Source organism: Homo sapiens, chromosome 2 (genome assembly GCF_000001405.40).
Source record: "Homo sapiens chromosome 2, GRCh38.p14 Primary Assembly".
Classification (NCBI taxonomy): domain Eukaryota; kingdom Metazoa; phylum Chordata; class Mammalia; order Primates; family Hominidae; genus Homo; species Homo sapiens.
The window spans coordinates 96138624-96150960 of NC_000002.12; the positions used below are offsets into that span (position 1 = coordinate 96138624).

Consider the following 12337-nt stretch of genomic DNA (forward strand, 5'->3'; position numbering starts at 1 on the left):
TCTCCACCTGCAGCCCCGCCCCAACCACCTCCACCTGCAGCCCCGCCCCAACCAGCTCCACCTGCAGCCCCGCCCCAACCAGCTCTACCGGCAGCGCCACCCAAACCAGGTCTACTGGCAGCCCCTCCGATGCCTACCTGTGGTTCCCACCCCAGCCCAGTCCCCTTCCTGGCTGTAGCAGGTGAAAGACAGGAGGGGCCCGCTTGGGAGTGTGGCTCTTCTGAGGTTCCTTCCTGCCTCCAGGGGGCAGAGAAACATCGCAGAAAGTTGCTCCAGGCCTAGCTGAGGCCCCAGCCCAGGTATAGACCTATTCCTCCAGCGAGGGAGACCCCCTTTCCTACCCCGGCCTGTGCTTAGACATGGGGAAAGCTGCCTGAGACCCTGGGGCGCCCCCCGTGTATCTCCGGAAGGAGGAAAAGGTCACTGCACTTTCACAAGCTTTTATTTTAGTACACATATAGAAAAGTTCACTATCACAAGCACAGGGCTCCAGGAAATTTCACAAACTGAACAGTGTGCAGCACCCTAGAAAGCCTGCCATGTGGGAAAGGTGGAACCCCCAGATGCCCAGAGCCTCGCAGGGAGTCCACCCCCTAATCCCACAGCAGCTGGCATGATCAGTCAGTATTTATTCCCATTTCACAGATTTGGAAATTTAAACTCCTTACCTATATCCCCCCTCCTCCATACCCCTGAGCCCCAGAGCCAGGTCACTCAGGGCCCCACCTGGATTGAAATCCCAGAGGCGGAGCATGTCAGCGCTGGGCAGCATTTGGGGACACCCCCACAGTCACCTGCACCCAGTGAAGGGAAGCGACAGAGCCAAGAAGAATAGCTATTGTCCACAAGGACCTTTCAGCATTCCCACTGTGCCTGGAATCCAGAGCTTCTCCAAAGATAGGAATCAGAATCACAGGGAGACCATGATGGAGGCAGACGCCCTGCTGCCAGGGCAGGGTATTGACAGATGTCAGGATACACACCATGGATATGCTAGTTAGCTTGTTGTGGTCATCATTTCACAAGGTATGCATATGTCAAAACATCACGTTGTATACTTAAACATATACTACTTTTATTTGTCGATTATGCCTCAGTAAACCTAGAAAAAATAAGTAAAATAAAGAATAGGACCCATCAAAAAACAAATGCACAAGGCTGACCACTTAAGATGAGTGTTCAGGAGGGCGCGGTGGCTCACGCCTATAATCCCAGCACTTTGGGAGGCCAAGGCAGGTGGATCACGAGGTCAGGAATTCAAGACCAGACTGGCCACCATGGTGAAACCCCATCTCTACTAAAAGAATACAAAAATTAGCTGGGCACGGTGGCGGGCACCTGTAATCCCACCTACTCGGGAGGCTGAGGCAGGTGAATCACTTGAACCCAGAGGTGGAGTTTGCAATGAGCCAAAATCGCGCCACTGCACTCTAGCCCGGGGGACAGAGTGAGACTCCATCTCAAAAAAAAAGATGAATGTTCAGTAAAAAAAAATAAAGTAGACCGGGCGCAGTGGCTCATGCCTGTAATCCCAGCATTTTGGGAGGCCAAGGCAGGCAGATTACTTGAGGTCAGGAGTTCGAGACCAGCCTAGCCAACACGGTGAAACCCCATCTCTACTAAAAATACAAAAATTAGCCAGAAATCCCTTGAACTCAGGAGGCAGAGGTTGCAGTGAGCCAAGATTGTGCCACTGCACTCCAGCCTGGGCAACAGAGTGAGACTCTGTCTCAAAAAACAAAAGAATTAAAATAATGATAAGAAATAATCACCCTGCTTGGGGAGAGAAACAGAGTCTTTATTAGGACATGCAGTTGGTCTGAGGATATTTTGCTGAGCGAAACAAGCCAGTCACAAAAAGACAAATCCTGCATGCTTCTACCTCCAAGAGGTGTCTAGAGTAGCCCAGTGCACAGGGACGGAAAGTGGAACGGAGCTCACAAGGGGCTGGGGACTGGGGAGGGGAGTTATCATTTAATAGGTATAGGATTTCAGGTTCGCAAGATGAAAAAGCTCTGGATATCTGTGCACAACGATGTGAATACACTTTACTAAACACTTGATAATGGTAAAGATGACCAATTTTATGTTGCATTTTTTACCACAATTAAAAGTTTAAAAATTTAATAAATAGGAAAGAAGGAAAGGAGGAAAAGAGAGAGAAAGAGAAGGGCAGTTTGCTAGATGACAAGCTATAAAAAGCACGGGGAAGGAAGGAGAGGGGATTGGGGCTGGGTAGGGTGGGATGGGGTAGGGCCAAGGGTGGGGGGTGGGCAGAGGCCTCAGCCACCAGTGCAGCTGTGTGTGAGATGAGGCTGTGTGGTGTGAAGTCCCCTATGACTTAGAGCCCCAGATGTCCCCCACCCACCCAAGCTGGGCATGGGGGTACAAGTGGGTCCCAACAGATGCCTACTCAGCTCCTAAGGAAGGCAGAATAGCAACCCCGGCTCTGCCCAGTTCACACTGGAGTGGCTCACCCCACCCCTCAGACAGCAGTGGGAACAAGAATCACCCTTCATTCGGCCTCACAGAGTGAGCGCCCACCTGTGCCAGGCTCCAGGCACAAGGCTGAGTGGACCCCAGGCCCAGCCGTTATGAGTGTCCATCCTGGTCCAGATGCACACCTCGCATGTGCACACCGGCACATCAGATCAACCTCACTCCTAGGGCCGTAGTTAGCTAACATTTTCGGAGCGCCTACTATGAGCAGGCACTACATGGATTGACTTGTGTAAGTCTACATCCTCAGAGGTGGGGGCTAACAATGAAACTCCATTTTACAGACAAGAAAACTGTATACAGCAAGGTGAAGCAAAACCAGCCCCCGGACTGTCAAACTACACTGCCCTGCCCCACAAGCACACCCTCCCAGGCATTCAGAATGCCGTAAGACAGCAGTTCCCAACCTTTGTGGCACCAGGGACCGGTTTTTGTTTGTTCCTCTGTTTGAGATGGAGTTTCACTCTTGATGCTCAGGCTGGAGTGCAATGGCGCAATCTTGGCTCACTGCAACCTCCACCTCCCAGGTTCAAGCAATTCTCCTGCCTCAGACTCCCAAGTAGCTGGGATAACAGGCGCCCGCCACCATGCCTGGCTAATTTTTGTATTTTTAGTAGAGGCGGGGTTTCACCATGTTGGCCAGGCTGGTCCCGAACTCCTGACCTCAGTTGATCCACCCATCTCGGCCTCCCAAAGTGCTAGGATTAGAGGCATAAGCCACCATGCCTGGCCCAGGATGGTGAGGGGGATGGTTTCTAGGTGATTCAAGTGCATTACATTTATTGTGCACTTTATTTCTATCATTACATTGTAATCTACAATGAAATAATTTTATACAACTCACCATAATGTAGAATCAGTGGGAGCCCAGAGCTTGTTTTCCTGAGACTAGACGGTCCCATCTGGGAGTGATGGGAGACAGTGACAGATCATCAGGCATTAGTTAGAGTTTCATAAGGAGCATACATCCTATATCCCTCCAATGCAGTTCACAACAGGGTTCAAGCTCCTATGAGAATCTAATGCCACCGCTGATCTGATAGGAGGCGGAGCTCAGGCAGTAATGCTAGCAATGGGGTGCGGCTGTAATACTGATGAAGCTGCTCACCTCCGGCTGTGCAGCCCAGTTCCTAACAGACCACGGACAGATCCTTAGAGGTAGCACTGTGCAGAGACAACCCTTGGCTGGATGACACTCCAAATGGCCGAGTGTCCCAGTGAGCCTGAAGCAGGACTGGCTCCCGCACAACCATTTCCAAAGGCCTCAGCACCCCTGCTCACAGGCAGATCACAGCACCCCCTCCCGGCAGCGTCGGCAGGTACCCCTTGGCTTCTGGCGTGGGCGGGGCCCTGGTCTCAGGTCTCCACTGAACCTTAGTCCTATGCTGGGCCCGTAATTGAAGCTCGGCCAAGATGTGCTAGTTGGGTGGGTGTGCAGAGCAATGAATCCCATCCCTGGTGACAGGTCCTCTGCACCAGACACAGGGCCACATGCCTTTGGGGGACATGAAGGAGCTCTGGAACAGGGGACGCTGTGAGCCCCAGCCCTGGGATGTGGGAGAAGAGTAGGGAGGCCATGCAGGCCTGCTGTGAGGAAGTAGAGACCCACACGGCCTGGGAAGTGCCTCTTGTGTGGGCGTGCACACACGCTCCCACAGGAACACCATGCGCAACATGCAGGTGTGCATGGGCCAAGACCACCCACCCCCACAGGACCACACCCTCAGGCACACACTCGCATCCTTCCACATTCCGAAAAGGAAGCGGGGTCTGATCGGGGCAGCACTGGGCCTGGCTCTGAGTCACGGACGGGACCCAGCCTCCCAGAAACAACCCTGTTCAGCTCTGGAGCGAGGTCCCTGTCTGGGAAAAGACGCCAGCCCAGGGAGAACTGGGGCCAAGAGAGCAGCCTTTGTGGGGAGGGTCAGACCTGCCCCTTCCGGCCGCTGGCCCCTCTGCCCATTCACTTCCCAAACCCCAAGGGCACAAGGAAACGTGAGGTCCAAGCAGGCTCCCGGGTATCAGATGAGACCAGATGCTGGGTTGTTGTTTTTTAAATATAACAATATTTTATTGACATATCCTGAATGTTCTGTATAAATATAAAGTGCTAAGTTTCCAACCCCTGCCCACAGGGCTAGGAGGAAGCGGGGGAGGGAGTGTTAAATGTCAGCTGAGCACAAATAATTTTCCAGCGCCAGCACAGGTGTGAAAGGCTCACAGACAGACACACGCAACATGACACACCCATCACTTCCCAAGTCCCCAGCTTCCCCAGGAACACAGGGCTTGGGCTCCAGGCCCTGGGCAGACGAACCCACAGACAGGGCTCCTGGTTGTCACAGCTTGTTCCTTGGAGCTCTCAGGCTGCCAAGGGCTTCAACATGGTGGTGGACCAGGGAGAGTCCACGGTATAGCGTCTAGCTGATTTCTGCCAGAGGATGGGGAGGGAAAGAGCAGACACACCCTTGGTTCCCGACCCCGAATGAGGGCCAGCCTCAGTCCCCCAGCAGAAGAGCACCAGGTCGGAAAGACCAGCATGCCGGCATTCCTAGAGCCCCCATGTGGGGGCTTCTGAAACTCTGAGGAGGTAGCAGCCCTGCCAGAGGTGAGGGGACTGTGCTGGCCCAGAGGGGAGCCCACCAGTCCACAGTCAGCTCCTGCCAGCACAGTGGGGCAGGCAGGCAGAGGGGCACCACCTCAGTGACACAGCACCTGGGTCTCAAACTGCAGCAGCTGCCCCATGAAACTGAAGTTGGGGGAGATGACCCCCCGGCGCTGCTTAACGAAGTCAAAGGCCTCGTCCAGCCGCACACGGCGACTCTGCATGAGGTATGCCAGACAGATGGTGGCAGAGCGCGAGATACCCGCCTGGCAGTGCACCAGCACCCGGCCTCCGCTGTTCTTCACCCAGTCTGCAAGGGAGATGGGGGAGTGGTGTCAGACGGAATGTGCACAGCCCAGGAGACAGGTGCCCCCAGTCCTCTCCTCTGGAGCCCCTCGGGATTTCTGGGCAGAGGTGCCCCCTTACCAATGAAGCCTATGGCCTCCTGGAACCAGGCACTGATCTCCACCATCTGGTTGTCCTCCACAGGGATACTCTTGTAGCGGAAAAGGCCCTCAAAGTGGTTGGGGCAGCTGGCGGACACGTTGAGGACGGCTGTGATGCCACAGGCCTGCAGCCCCTGCAGGTCTGACGAGTGACTGCAGCTGCCCAGGAACAGGTAGGGCAAGATCTCCACAGGGCCACCCTGGAGGGAACAGAGGGGCGGTGAGGCCTTTCCAGCCCAGCCCCGGAGAGCTGGAGCAGCAGCGGGTGGAGACCCCATGGGCTGGCCGAGACAAGAGGACTCCTCAGCCAGTCCTCCTGACCTGAGACAGGTCTCAGGAATGTGCGGAGGACACACCGGGACATACATTTCCCTTCATGCTCCCAACATACACATGCAAACATACACAGACCCATACAGGCACGCGCGAGCAGCCATGCCCCACCCCCTCCCCCAACACACACACGTATAAAAGTGTGTGTATATGGGCAAACTGCTCGCATCCCCAAATGGCAGGCTCTTTCCCTAGAGGCGCCCAGTCCGCGGCGGGGAGAGAGGGAGGTTCGGGGGAGGGGGGTCAATACTCACCTGGTCGTAGACAGGAGCCCTGGAGTCGGAGCGGCTGGTTTTGTCCCCTGTTGGCGGCAGCGCAGGGGCGGGGGCCTCAGAGCACAGATCGGGACAGCAGCCCTGGAAGCCGTCGAAGCCTCCTGCAAGGAGGGGAAGAGCACGATCAGCAGGGAAAGCCGGGCTGGAGTCGGGTGGGGCGGGCCAAGGGCGGCCGGCTTGCTCACCTCGCAGGAAGTACACGGCAGTGGGCCCCGCGCGGGTCTCGTGCAGCAGCGCGGCCAGCAGCACATGAGCCGGGCTGTCGGGCCGGAGCTCCGCCACCGAGGCACTGCCCTCGTCCAGCACCACGGCCCGCGCCAGCTCCCCGCGGACCAGGCGCGTCCGCAGCGCGCGGTCGGGCAGCAGGCAGGCGAGAACGGCGGCAGGAGGGCCGCGCGCGCGGCGCCGCAGCAGCGCGTTCCAAGGCACTGGCCGCGCGGCGCGCACGTGGCGCCGGCAGAAGGCCAGGAAGGGGCGGCAGTCCAGCAGCAGCGTGCGTTCCGCCTCCCGCGGATCCCGCAGCAGCGTGCCCAGCGCCGCGCACTCCAGCTCGCGCGCCGCCTCCAGCCCCATGGCCACCGGTGCCTCTTCCTCTTCCTTTCGGTCTTTCCCGCGTCCCGGGCTCTCGTGGCGGTGGCGCTGCCCGAGCGGTCGACTCCGGGCGCCCTCCGCGGCGGCCCGGGTTAAGTACCCGTGGGCCGGCCTCCGGGGCACCATACAAGGGCAGAGCAGGAAGGCGCTGGCGCCCGCGCCCGCCCCCGCCCCTCACGTGGGGCGCAGTCTGGGCTGACCTGGAGACTTCGGGGCGGGGGGGAGGTTGAGGGGGAAGGCAGGGCGCGGGGACCAACACACCGGGAGGAGGCGGGGACCAGCGACTAAGGGAAGGGAAGGTGTTACCCGGAGTCGGAGGGACTAGCACCCCTCCGTTTTTGCGCCCACCCTTTGACCTGTCCCAAGCCACTCAGTCCTGGGGAACCCAGCTTCTCAGATGCAGGTCCCCCTTTAGGGCCAACGATGACCCTTGGAGTACCCCACCCCCTAACCCCACGCTTCCTCTGCCTTTTCCCTTTCCCTCCCAGAATTTTCCTCTTAGAAATTTGTCACCACAAACATTGACAAATGCCTGCTGCCACGGGTGATTTCTACACTGGATGATGGGGGGGGTCCCTGCTGAGATGTCCTATTTCTCATCTATTTGGAGACCTTGAGCCAGAGGGACTTTCTCTCTCCTCCCCCTCCCCACCCCCCATTGCCTGGATAAGACCAGTACTCAGGGTCTTGCAGTAGGTTGGTGGCCAAGCTAGGCCAGAACACAGTCCCCGGGGCCCAGGCCCCTGGGCTTGGGCCGAAGGGAAATGAGGGGGGGTCCCAGGGCCTTTCATGGGGAAAGCAGGGGTCTGTGACTGGTTTCCAGTTATGTGTAGGGCAAAGCTTCTTCCTCCTGGGTGCAGGGAAAGCCCCCAGGCCCCAGAGAGAAGTACTTCCCCCTGCCACAAGCCCGCCCTGGAGGGAAGTCCGCTGACGCTCCCGGCCCTCCCCAGGCCTGCGGGGATTTCAAGACCTTGGCAAGGGGAAGAGGGAGAAGCAGAACAGAACTGGCCTCCCCCATCCTAGGCCTCCCTGTCCAGCCCCGCCGGGCAGCAAAGTCCAGGGCTAGCACTGCACCCGGAGGACTGGGGGCCTGGGTATCCCCTCCATTCCGCCCTCCCCCAGCCCTGCTGCCGGATGTGGTGAGGCCCAGGTGTGCGTGGGGTGTCTGAGCCACAAGAATTGTTGGCAGTGAACTCCCAAACTCAAGCAGAGAAGTTGAGGTGGGTGGAGACAGCGTCACTGCGCTGGAGCTGCCCTCGCCCTGCCCCCAGCTGCGTGGGATTTCAGAACCCACCCTCCAAGCCCCCAGTCTCCTGAGGCCCTCCTCCGTGCCCTCTGAAAGACCCTTCCGGCTCCCCCACAGACCCCTGTGTCCAGACCGTCTTGAAGAGTGACAGCTGGGACCTGTGGAGAGCCCGCAGCCCTTCTGGACTTGTCTGCCCTGAGTTCCTCACAGCAGTGTGCTGTATGCCTGGTTGTGTGCAGGGCAGCATCGTACCTGTGCAGTTCCACTATGTGTGAGAAGGAGCTGGAGCTTGTGTGTGCTGGGGTCAGAGCCGATGCAGAGGAGAAAAGCCCCAAGGACTCCAAAGGTCCCTGGGGCCACGTCACCCTCTCAGTGTCTCCATCTGTAAGGGGAGCACATCATGGTGCAGCGGCTCTTCCACACTGGCTCCAACGCTCTAAGGCTACTCCACTGTCTGGGCAACTTGGCTGAGGCCCCGCTGTCCCTGGCAGGCCAGTCTGGAGGCTGAGGCAGCAAAGCCCACAACAGAGCCAGGGAGTCTGGGCCACAGATCCCAAAGGCTGATATGAGCCCTTATCTTTGGCATCGGCCTCCAAATGACTTAATGCTTATTCCAGGGGCAAATTACAGAGCGTGCAGAAGGACAATCAGGTCCAGTCTTGCTGCTGGGCCAGGAGCCAAAGCCTTCCAGCTCTGTGGGAGGACCCCAGCCAGGTGGGATCCCTGATTCAGGAGTGAATTCAGCTCAGCCGTGTAAGGGGCTCCAGACCCAACTCCCATGCTGGGCTGGGCCTCTTCCCCTCCTTCTGGAGAATCTGGTATACCTTGCCGGGGAGTTCTGCATGTGGGGAGAGCATTGCTGAAGGTTTGCTCTCATAGCACAGTCCCTGGGGCCTGGCACTCTTGGCCATGACCAGTGGTCTCTTTTTCTTTTTCTTTTTAAGTGACAGGATCTTGTTATGTTGCCCACACTGGCCTCAAACTCCTGAGCTCAAGTGATCCTCCTGCCTCAGCCAACAGAGTAGCTGGGACTATAGGCACGTGCCACCACCCAGCTCAGGACTGGTGATGACTGCCTAAAGTGGCTGCACATATGTCACCCCCTTGAGGCCATTTGTCTTGGGGCTGTCCCCTTTTCAGCTCTGGAACGTGGACTTACGGAGGCCCAGCTTAGCCATGAAGGAGGGCCTTCCCTTTGCCTTCTTTCCCTACTCCCAAACTGGGGAAAGCCCCACCCCCGATTACTGGGTGAAAGCCCAGGGCTGGGGTAAGAAGAGGGGGAGAGACTTACCAGCCCATGTCCCTCTCCTGCTTTTGCTCTGACAAAAGCCCCCCAAGCCTTGGATGCTGCCTGTGGTGATAATGGTGCAGGACGCCTGCTCCTCTCCGCCACCCACTCAGAGTCTCCCCAACCACCGTTCGCCAGAGCCCAGCCTTGGGAGCCACAGCAGAGAGGAGGCAGGGCATTGGGTGTAGGGGTGAGGACACAATGAGGAGGGGTCTCTGCTAGACTGGATGCCCCACAGCCTGAAGGCTCTGGAAGCAGGACCCAGTCCTCGCCACTGGCTGGGAAGGGGCTGACCCAGGTTGGGGGTCCCTGCTCAGAGCTCTCTCTGTTTTTGTTTGTTTTTCTTGGCCTGGCTCTTACAGAGCAGACAATATCAAGTAAGTTTGGGCTCAGCACTGTTTTTAAAATTGAAAACCTGTGAGACTCACCGGGAACAAATGATGATTCTGCATGTTATTCTTTTTATAACCATCTATTTTGACGGCTGTTTAAGCGTCACTGGCTCCTGCCTTTGGGATTCCAGGTCTTTCCTGGCCCTGGCAGCACATCCATCAGCCCCCTGCACAGCAGGTCTCCCTCCCACAGCTGCCTCGCTGCTGCTGCAGAGCCTTCCTTCCTCCTTCCAGCCCCCACCTCCAAGCAGATGCCTCACAGGGGGCGGGAGGTGAGTGGCTTGGCTACAGTGCTTGCGCCAGAATAGGGATGGAGGTGAGAGTGACGGGCCACCCCAAGCTCCGCCTGAGTGGTGAGTCAGGGATGACGTCGGGTTTCCTGTGCCAGGCCTCTGACGAACACACCGATGCGGCGGCCACCCCCACAGGCTCCTGCCAGGCGCCAGGCTCCAGGGACAGCCCCTCTGTGAGGAAGGCGTGTCTGGCACAGAGCAGGGTGGGGGCGGGGGTTCACCTGGGGCACCCAGCCCTTAGCAAGGCCTCCTCCTGGCCAAGGTGAAGCGGGAAGCCTGCAGCCGAAAGGGCTGGTGTCTGTTCCCACACTCTGTCATGCGTCTTGTCACGTGTGTGTGTGTGTGTGTGTGTGAGCAGGACCAGGACCACCCAGGAGCAGGGCTGCTGGGGAAGACACTCTGAGGCCTCCTCAGGGGACCCGTCGCTCAGACTAAATGCATAGGGGCCCGCGATACGCCCCAACCCTGGCCCTGCCTCTCACCCGGGTGCCACCCTGAGCTTCAGGTCCCCTGGCGTGCACCCCCAAGCAGGACATTCGGATGCTCAGACACCTTGAGGCTGCATCCAGACCAGCACTGAGGAGTCCCCAGCCATGCGCGGAGGACGTTCTGCCTTTTTCAAGTCAATCAGTCCTTCTGAGTACATCAAGAAGAAAGTCTCCACGTGGGGCTGGCGTGGCTGTAACTTCTAATACCTGCCTTTCCTCATTTTAACCAAGAGGCTTTGCGCCCCTTTCTGCATTTATCACTTACTCAACCCTGCATTCAGAAATACATTTCAAGAACCTATTATGTACCAAGTACTATTCTACGTGCTGGGGATATAGCAGTAAATCCCAAACCACTGCCCTCAAGGCGCTGACCTCATTGCTTCAACAATATATATTTTTGTGATTATGTTGTGTTCATGGTAAATGATACTAATTATCCACCTAGAGTAATCATATCTTTTCCTTTTAAAGTAAATTTTAGGTTTGTAAAAACTGAGTTGACTTAAGGAAAACTGTTGGGAACAGATGGTACCCAAACATCTTAAAAAGTGAGGTGCATGGCCGGGCGCGGTGGCTCACGCCTGAAATCCCTGCACTTTGGGAGGCCAAGGCGGGTGGATCACCTGAGGTCAGGAGTTCAAGACCAGCCTGGCCAACATGATGAAACCCCGTCTCTACTAAAAATACAAAAAATTAGTCAGGCGTGGTGGCAGGTGCCCATAATCCCAGCTACTCAGGACGCTGAGGCAGGAGAATCACTTGAACCCGGGAGGTGGAGATTGTGGTGAGCCGAGATCACGCCACTGCACTCCAGCCTGGGCAACAGAGCAAAACTCCGTCTCAAAAAAGAGAAAAAGAAAAACGTGCAGTGCAGGCAGGAGATGCCAGAATTAGGCTGTGTTGTCCAGGAAAGGATCCTATGGCCCCTTCCAGCTTTGGGAGGTACGGTGCTATGGAATCTGGTTCCCCCTTCTGCCATGGTTTCCCATAAAGAGAGGAGGCCACAGCCTGAGGAAGGGACTCTGGGAGAGCTCATTGCCAAGGCCCCACTTGCCTGTGGGCCTATCCACCAAAGCAACTGTGTTTGTCTGTGTTCCCAGATGGGCCTGGGCCTGGGCCTGGGCCTGGGGGTGGAAGGGACCTCCTCTCTGAGCTTTTCCCTGGGCACCCACCCCTGGCACACCTGTGGCCCCCAACCGATGGGGGTCCCAGTAGTGAAACCAATTCCCACCCTGCTAGCCAGAGGCACTGTGGCTTAGGCCCAGGTATCTAAGGAGGGAAGAGGAGGTTGCTAAGGAATAGCTGTGGCCGGTGGTAAGAGTTGGGCAAGAAATGAAGGAGTCTCAAAAATATGACCACACTGCGGGCACAGGGCGAGTGACAAGAGGCCTCCTGGGGCTCCCCTGTGACCAGAGCTGGGTGCACTGTTGGGGGGGGGGTGACAAAGGGACCTCCTTCCCACCTCACCAGCACTGCTGACACCTTAACTACCATCGAAGACCAGGCCATGCTCTCTGCCACCCCCCAAAACCAGCAATACCAGCACAGCAGCAGCAGCAGCCGGGGAAGCTCTGGGCATCAGTTAGCTGTGGGGGCTGTGAAGCCACCTTGCCTTGGTCAGACACAACTGGGCTGCTTCCCTATAGTGTGATCTTGGTCTCGTCCCTCATTAAAAAAGAGCAATCACTAGCACTGTGTTCAGTGCCTTGGGAGCATCACTGCATCTGGCCTCACACCCTGGAGAGCTGCCTCATTACCCTGCTCTGCAGATAGGGAAACCGAGGCCCAAAGGTGTTAGGGGGCAGAACCAAGGCCACACAGTCCATATGCAAATGAAGAACTGGGATTGGAACCTGGGCTTAACCACTAGTCTGCCCT

The 12337-nt window shown here is 57.2% G+C and overlaps 1 protein-coding gene across 2 annotated transcripts, besides 15 other annotated features; it reads right to left on the reverse strand.

Moving 5' to 3' along the window:
- Positions 694–783: a silencer, noted in NCBI's record as "silent region_11752". NCBI's record gives its function as "represses an Ori minimal core promoter by ATAC-STARR-seq in GM12878 lymphoblastoid cells {active_cell/tissue: GM12878}" and the evidence as "EXISTENCE:reporter gene assay evidence [ECO:0000049][PMID:35858748]".
- Positions 2757–2806: a silencer, noted in NCBI's record as "silent region_11753". NCBI's record gives its function as "represses an Ori minimal core promoter by ATAC-STARR-seq in GM12878 lymphoblastoid cells {active_cell/tissue: GM12878}" and the evidence as "EXISTENCE:reporter gene assay evidence [ECO:0000049][PMID:35858748]".
- Positions 2867–2916: a silencer, noted in NCBI's record as "silent region_11754". NCBI's record gives its function as "represses an Ori minimal core promoter by ATAC-STARR-seq in GM12878 lymphoblastoid cells {active_cell/tissue: GM12878}" and the evidence as "EXISTENCE:reporter gene assay evidence [ECO:0000049][PMID:35858748]".
- Positions 3967–4036: an enhancer, noted in NCBI's record as "active region_16191". NCBI's record gives its function as "activates an Ori minimal core promoter by ATAC-STARR-seq in GM12878 lymphoblastoid cells {active_cell/tissue: GM12878}" and the evidence as "EXISTENCE:reporter gene assay evidence [ECO:0000049][PMID:35858748]".
- On the reverse strand, positions 4546–6817 carry DUSP2 (dual specificity phosphatase 2). Of its 2 annotated transcripts, NM_004418.4 has the most exons (4): positions 6344–6817; positions 6138–6259; positions 5531–5750; positions 4546–5414 (listed from the first exon to the last, which is right to left on the reverse strand). In NM_004418.4, the coding sequence occupies exons 1-4, from the start codon at positions 6729–6731 to the stop codon at positions 5200–5202; spliced, it is 945 nt and encodes a 314-aa protein (NP_004409.1). In that variant the 5' UTR covers positions 6732–6817; the 3' UTR covers positions 4546–5199. The 2 variants fall into 2 exon arrangements, with proteins under 2 accessions (NP_004409.1, XP_016859035.1); XM_017003546.2 differs by having other exon boundaries at positions 6138–6817.
- Positions 5747–5796: an enhancer, noted in NCBI's record as "active region_16192". NCBI's record gives its function as "activates an Ori minimal core promoter by ATAC-STARR-seq in GM12878 lymphoblastoid cells {active_cell/tissue: GM12878}" and the evidence as "EXISTENCE:reporter gene assay evidence [ECO:0000049][PMID:35858748]".
- Positions 6199–6700: an enhancer, noted in NCBI's record as "H3K4me1 hESC enhancer chr2:96810561-96811062 (GRCh37/hg19 assembly coordinates)". NCBI's record gives its function as "activates a minimal SCP1, AML or CMV promoter by ChIP-STARR-seq in primed H9 embryonic stem cells {active_cell/tissue: H9 hESC(primed)}" and the evidence as "EXISTENCE:reporter gene assay evidence [ECO:0000049][PMID:30033119]".
- Positions 6199–7186: a biological region, named in NCBI's record as "H3K4me1 hESC enhancer GRCh37_chr2:96810561-96811062".
- Positions 6427–7186: a silencer, noted in NCBI's record as "silent region_11755". NCBI's record gives its function as "represses an Ori minimal core promoter by ATAC-STARR-seq in GM12878 lymphoblastoid cells {active_cell/tissue: GM12878}" and the evidence as "EXISTENCE:reporter gene assay evidence [ECO:0000049][PMID:35858748]".
- Positions 7497–8376: an enhancer, noted in NCBI's record as "active region_16193". NCBI's record gives its function as "activates an Ori minimal core promoter by ATAC-STARR-seq in GM12878 lymphoblastoid cells {active_cell/tissue: GM12878}" and the evidence as "EXISTENCE:reporter gene assay evidence [ECO:0000049][PMID:35858748]".
- Positions 8787–8956: an enhancer, noted in NCBI's record as "active region_16194". NCBI's record gives its function as "activates an Ori minimal core promoter by ATAC-STARR-seq in GM12878 lymphoblastoid cells {active_cell/tissue: GM12878}" and the evidence as "EXISTENCE:reporter gene assay evidence [ECO:0000049][PMID:35858748]".
- Positions 8939–9828: an enhancer, noted in NCBI's record as "H3K4me1 hESC enhancer chr2:96813301-96814190 (GRCh37/hg19 assembly coordinates)". NCBI's record gives its function as "activates a minimal SCP1, AML or CMV promoter by ChIP-STARR-seq in naive H9 embryonic stem cells {active_cell/tissue: H9 hESC(naive)}" and the evidence as "EXISTENCE:reporter gene assay evidence [ECO:0000049][PMID:30033119]".
- Positions 9137–9216: an enhancer, noted in NCBI's record as "active region_16195". NCBI's record gives its function as "activates an Ori minimal core promoter by ATAC-STARR-seq in GM12878 lymphoblastoid cells {active_cell/tissue: GM12878}" and the evidence as "EXISTENCE:reporter gene assay evidence [ECO:0000049][PMID:35858748]".
- Positions 9987–10186: an enhancer, noted in NCBI's record as "active region_16196". NCBI's record gives its function as "activates an Ori minimal core promoter by ATAC-STARR-seq in GM12878 lymphoblastoid cells {active_cell/tissue: GM12878}" and the evidence as "EXISTENCE:reporter gene assay evidence [ECO:0000049][PMID:35858748]".
- Positions 10217–10306: an enhancer, noted in NCBI's record as "active region_16197". NCBI's record gives its function as "activates an Ori minimal core promoter by ATAC-STARR-seq in GM12878 lymphoblastoid cells {active_cell/tissue: GM12878}" and the evidence as "EXISTENCE:reporter gene assay evidence [ECO:0000049][PMID:35858748]".
- Positions 10397–10476: an enhancer, noted in NCBI's record as "active region_16198". NCBI's record gives its function as "activates an Ori minimal core promoter by ATAC-STARR-seq in GM12878 lymphoblastoid cells {active_cell/tissue: GM12878}" and the evidence as "EXISTENCE:reporter gene assay evidence [ECO:0000049][PMID:35858748]".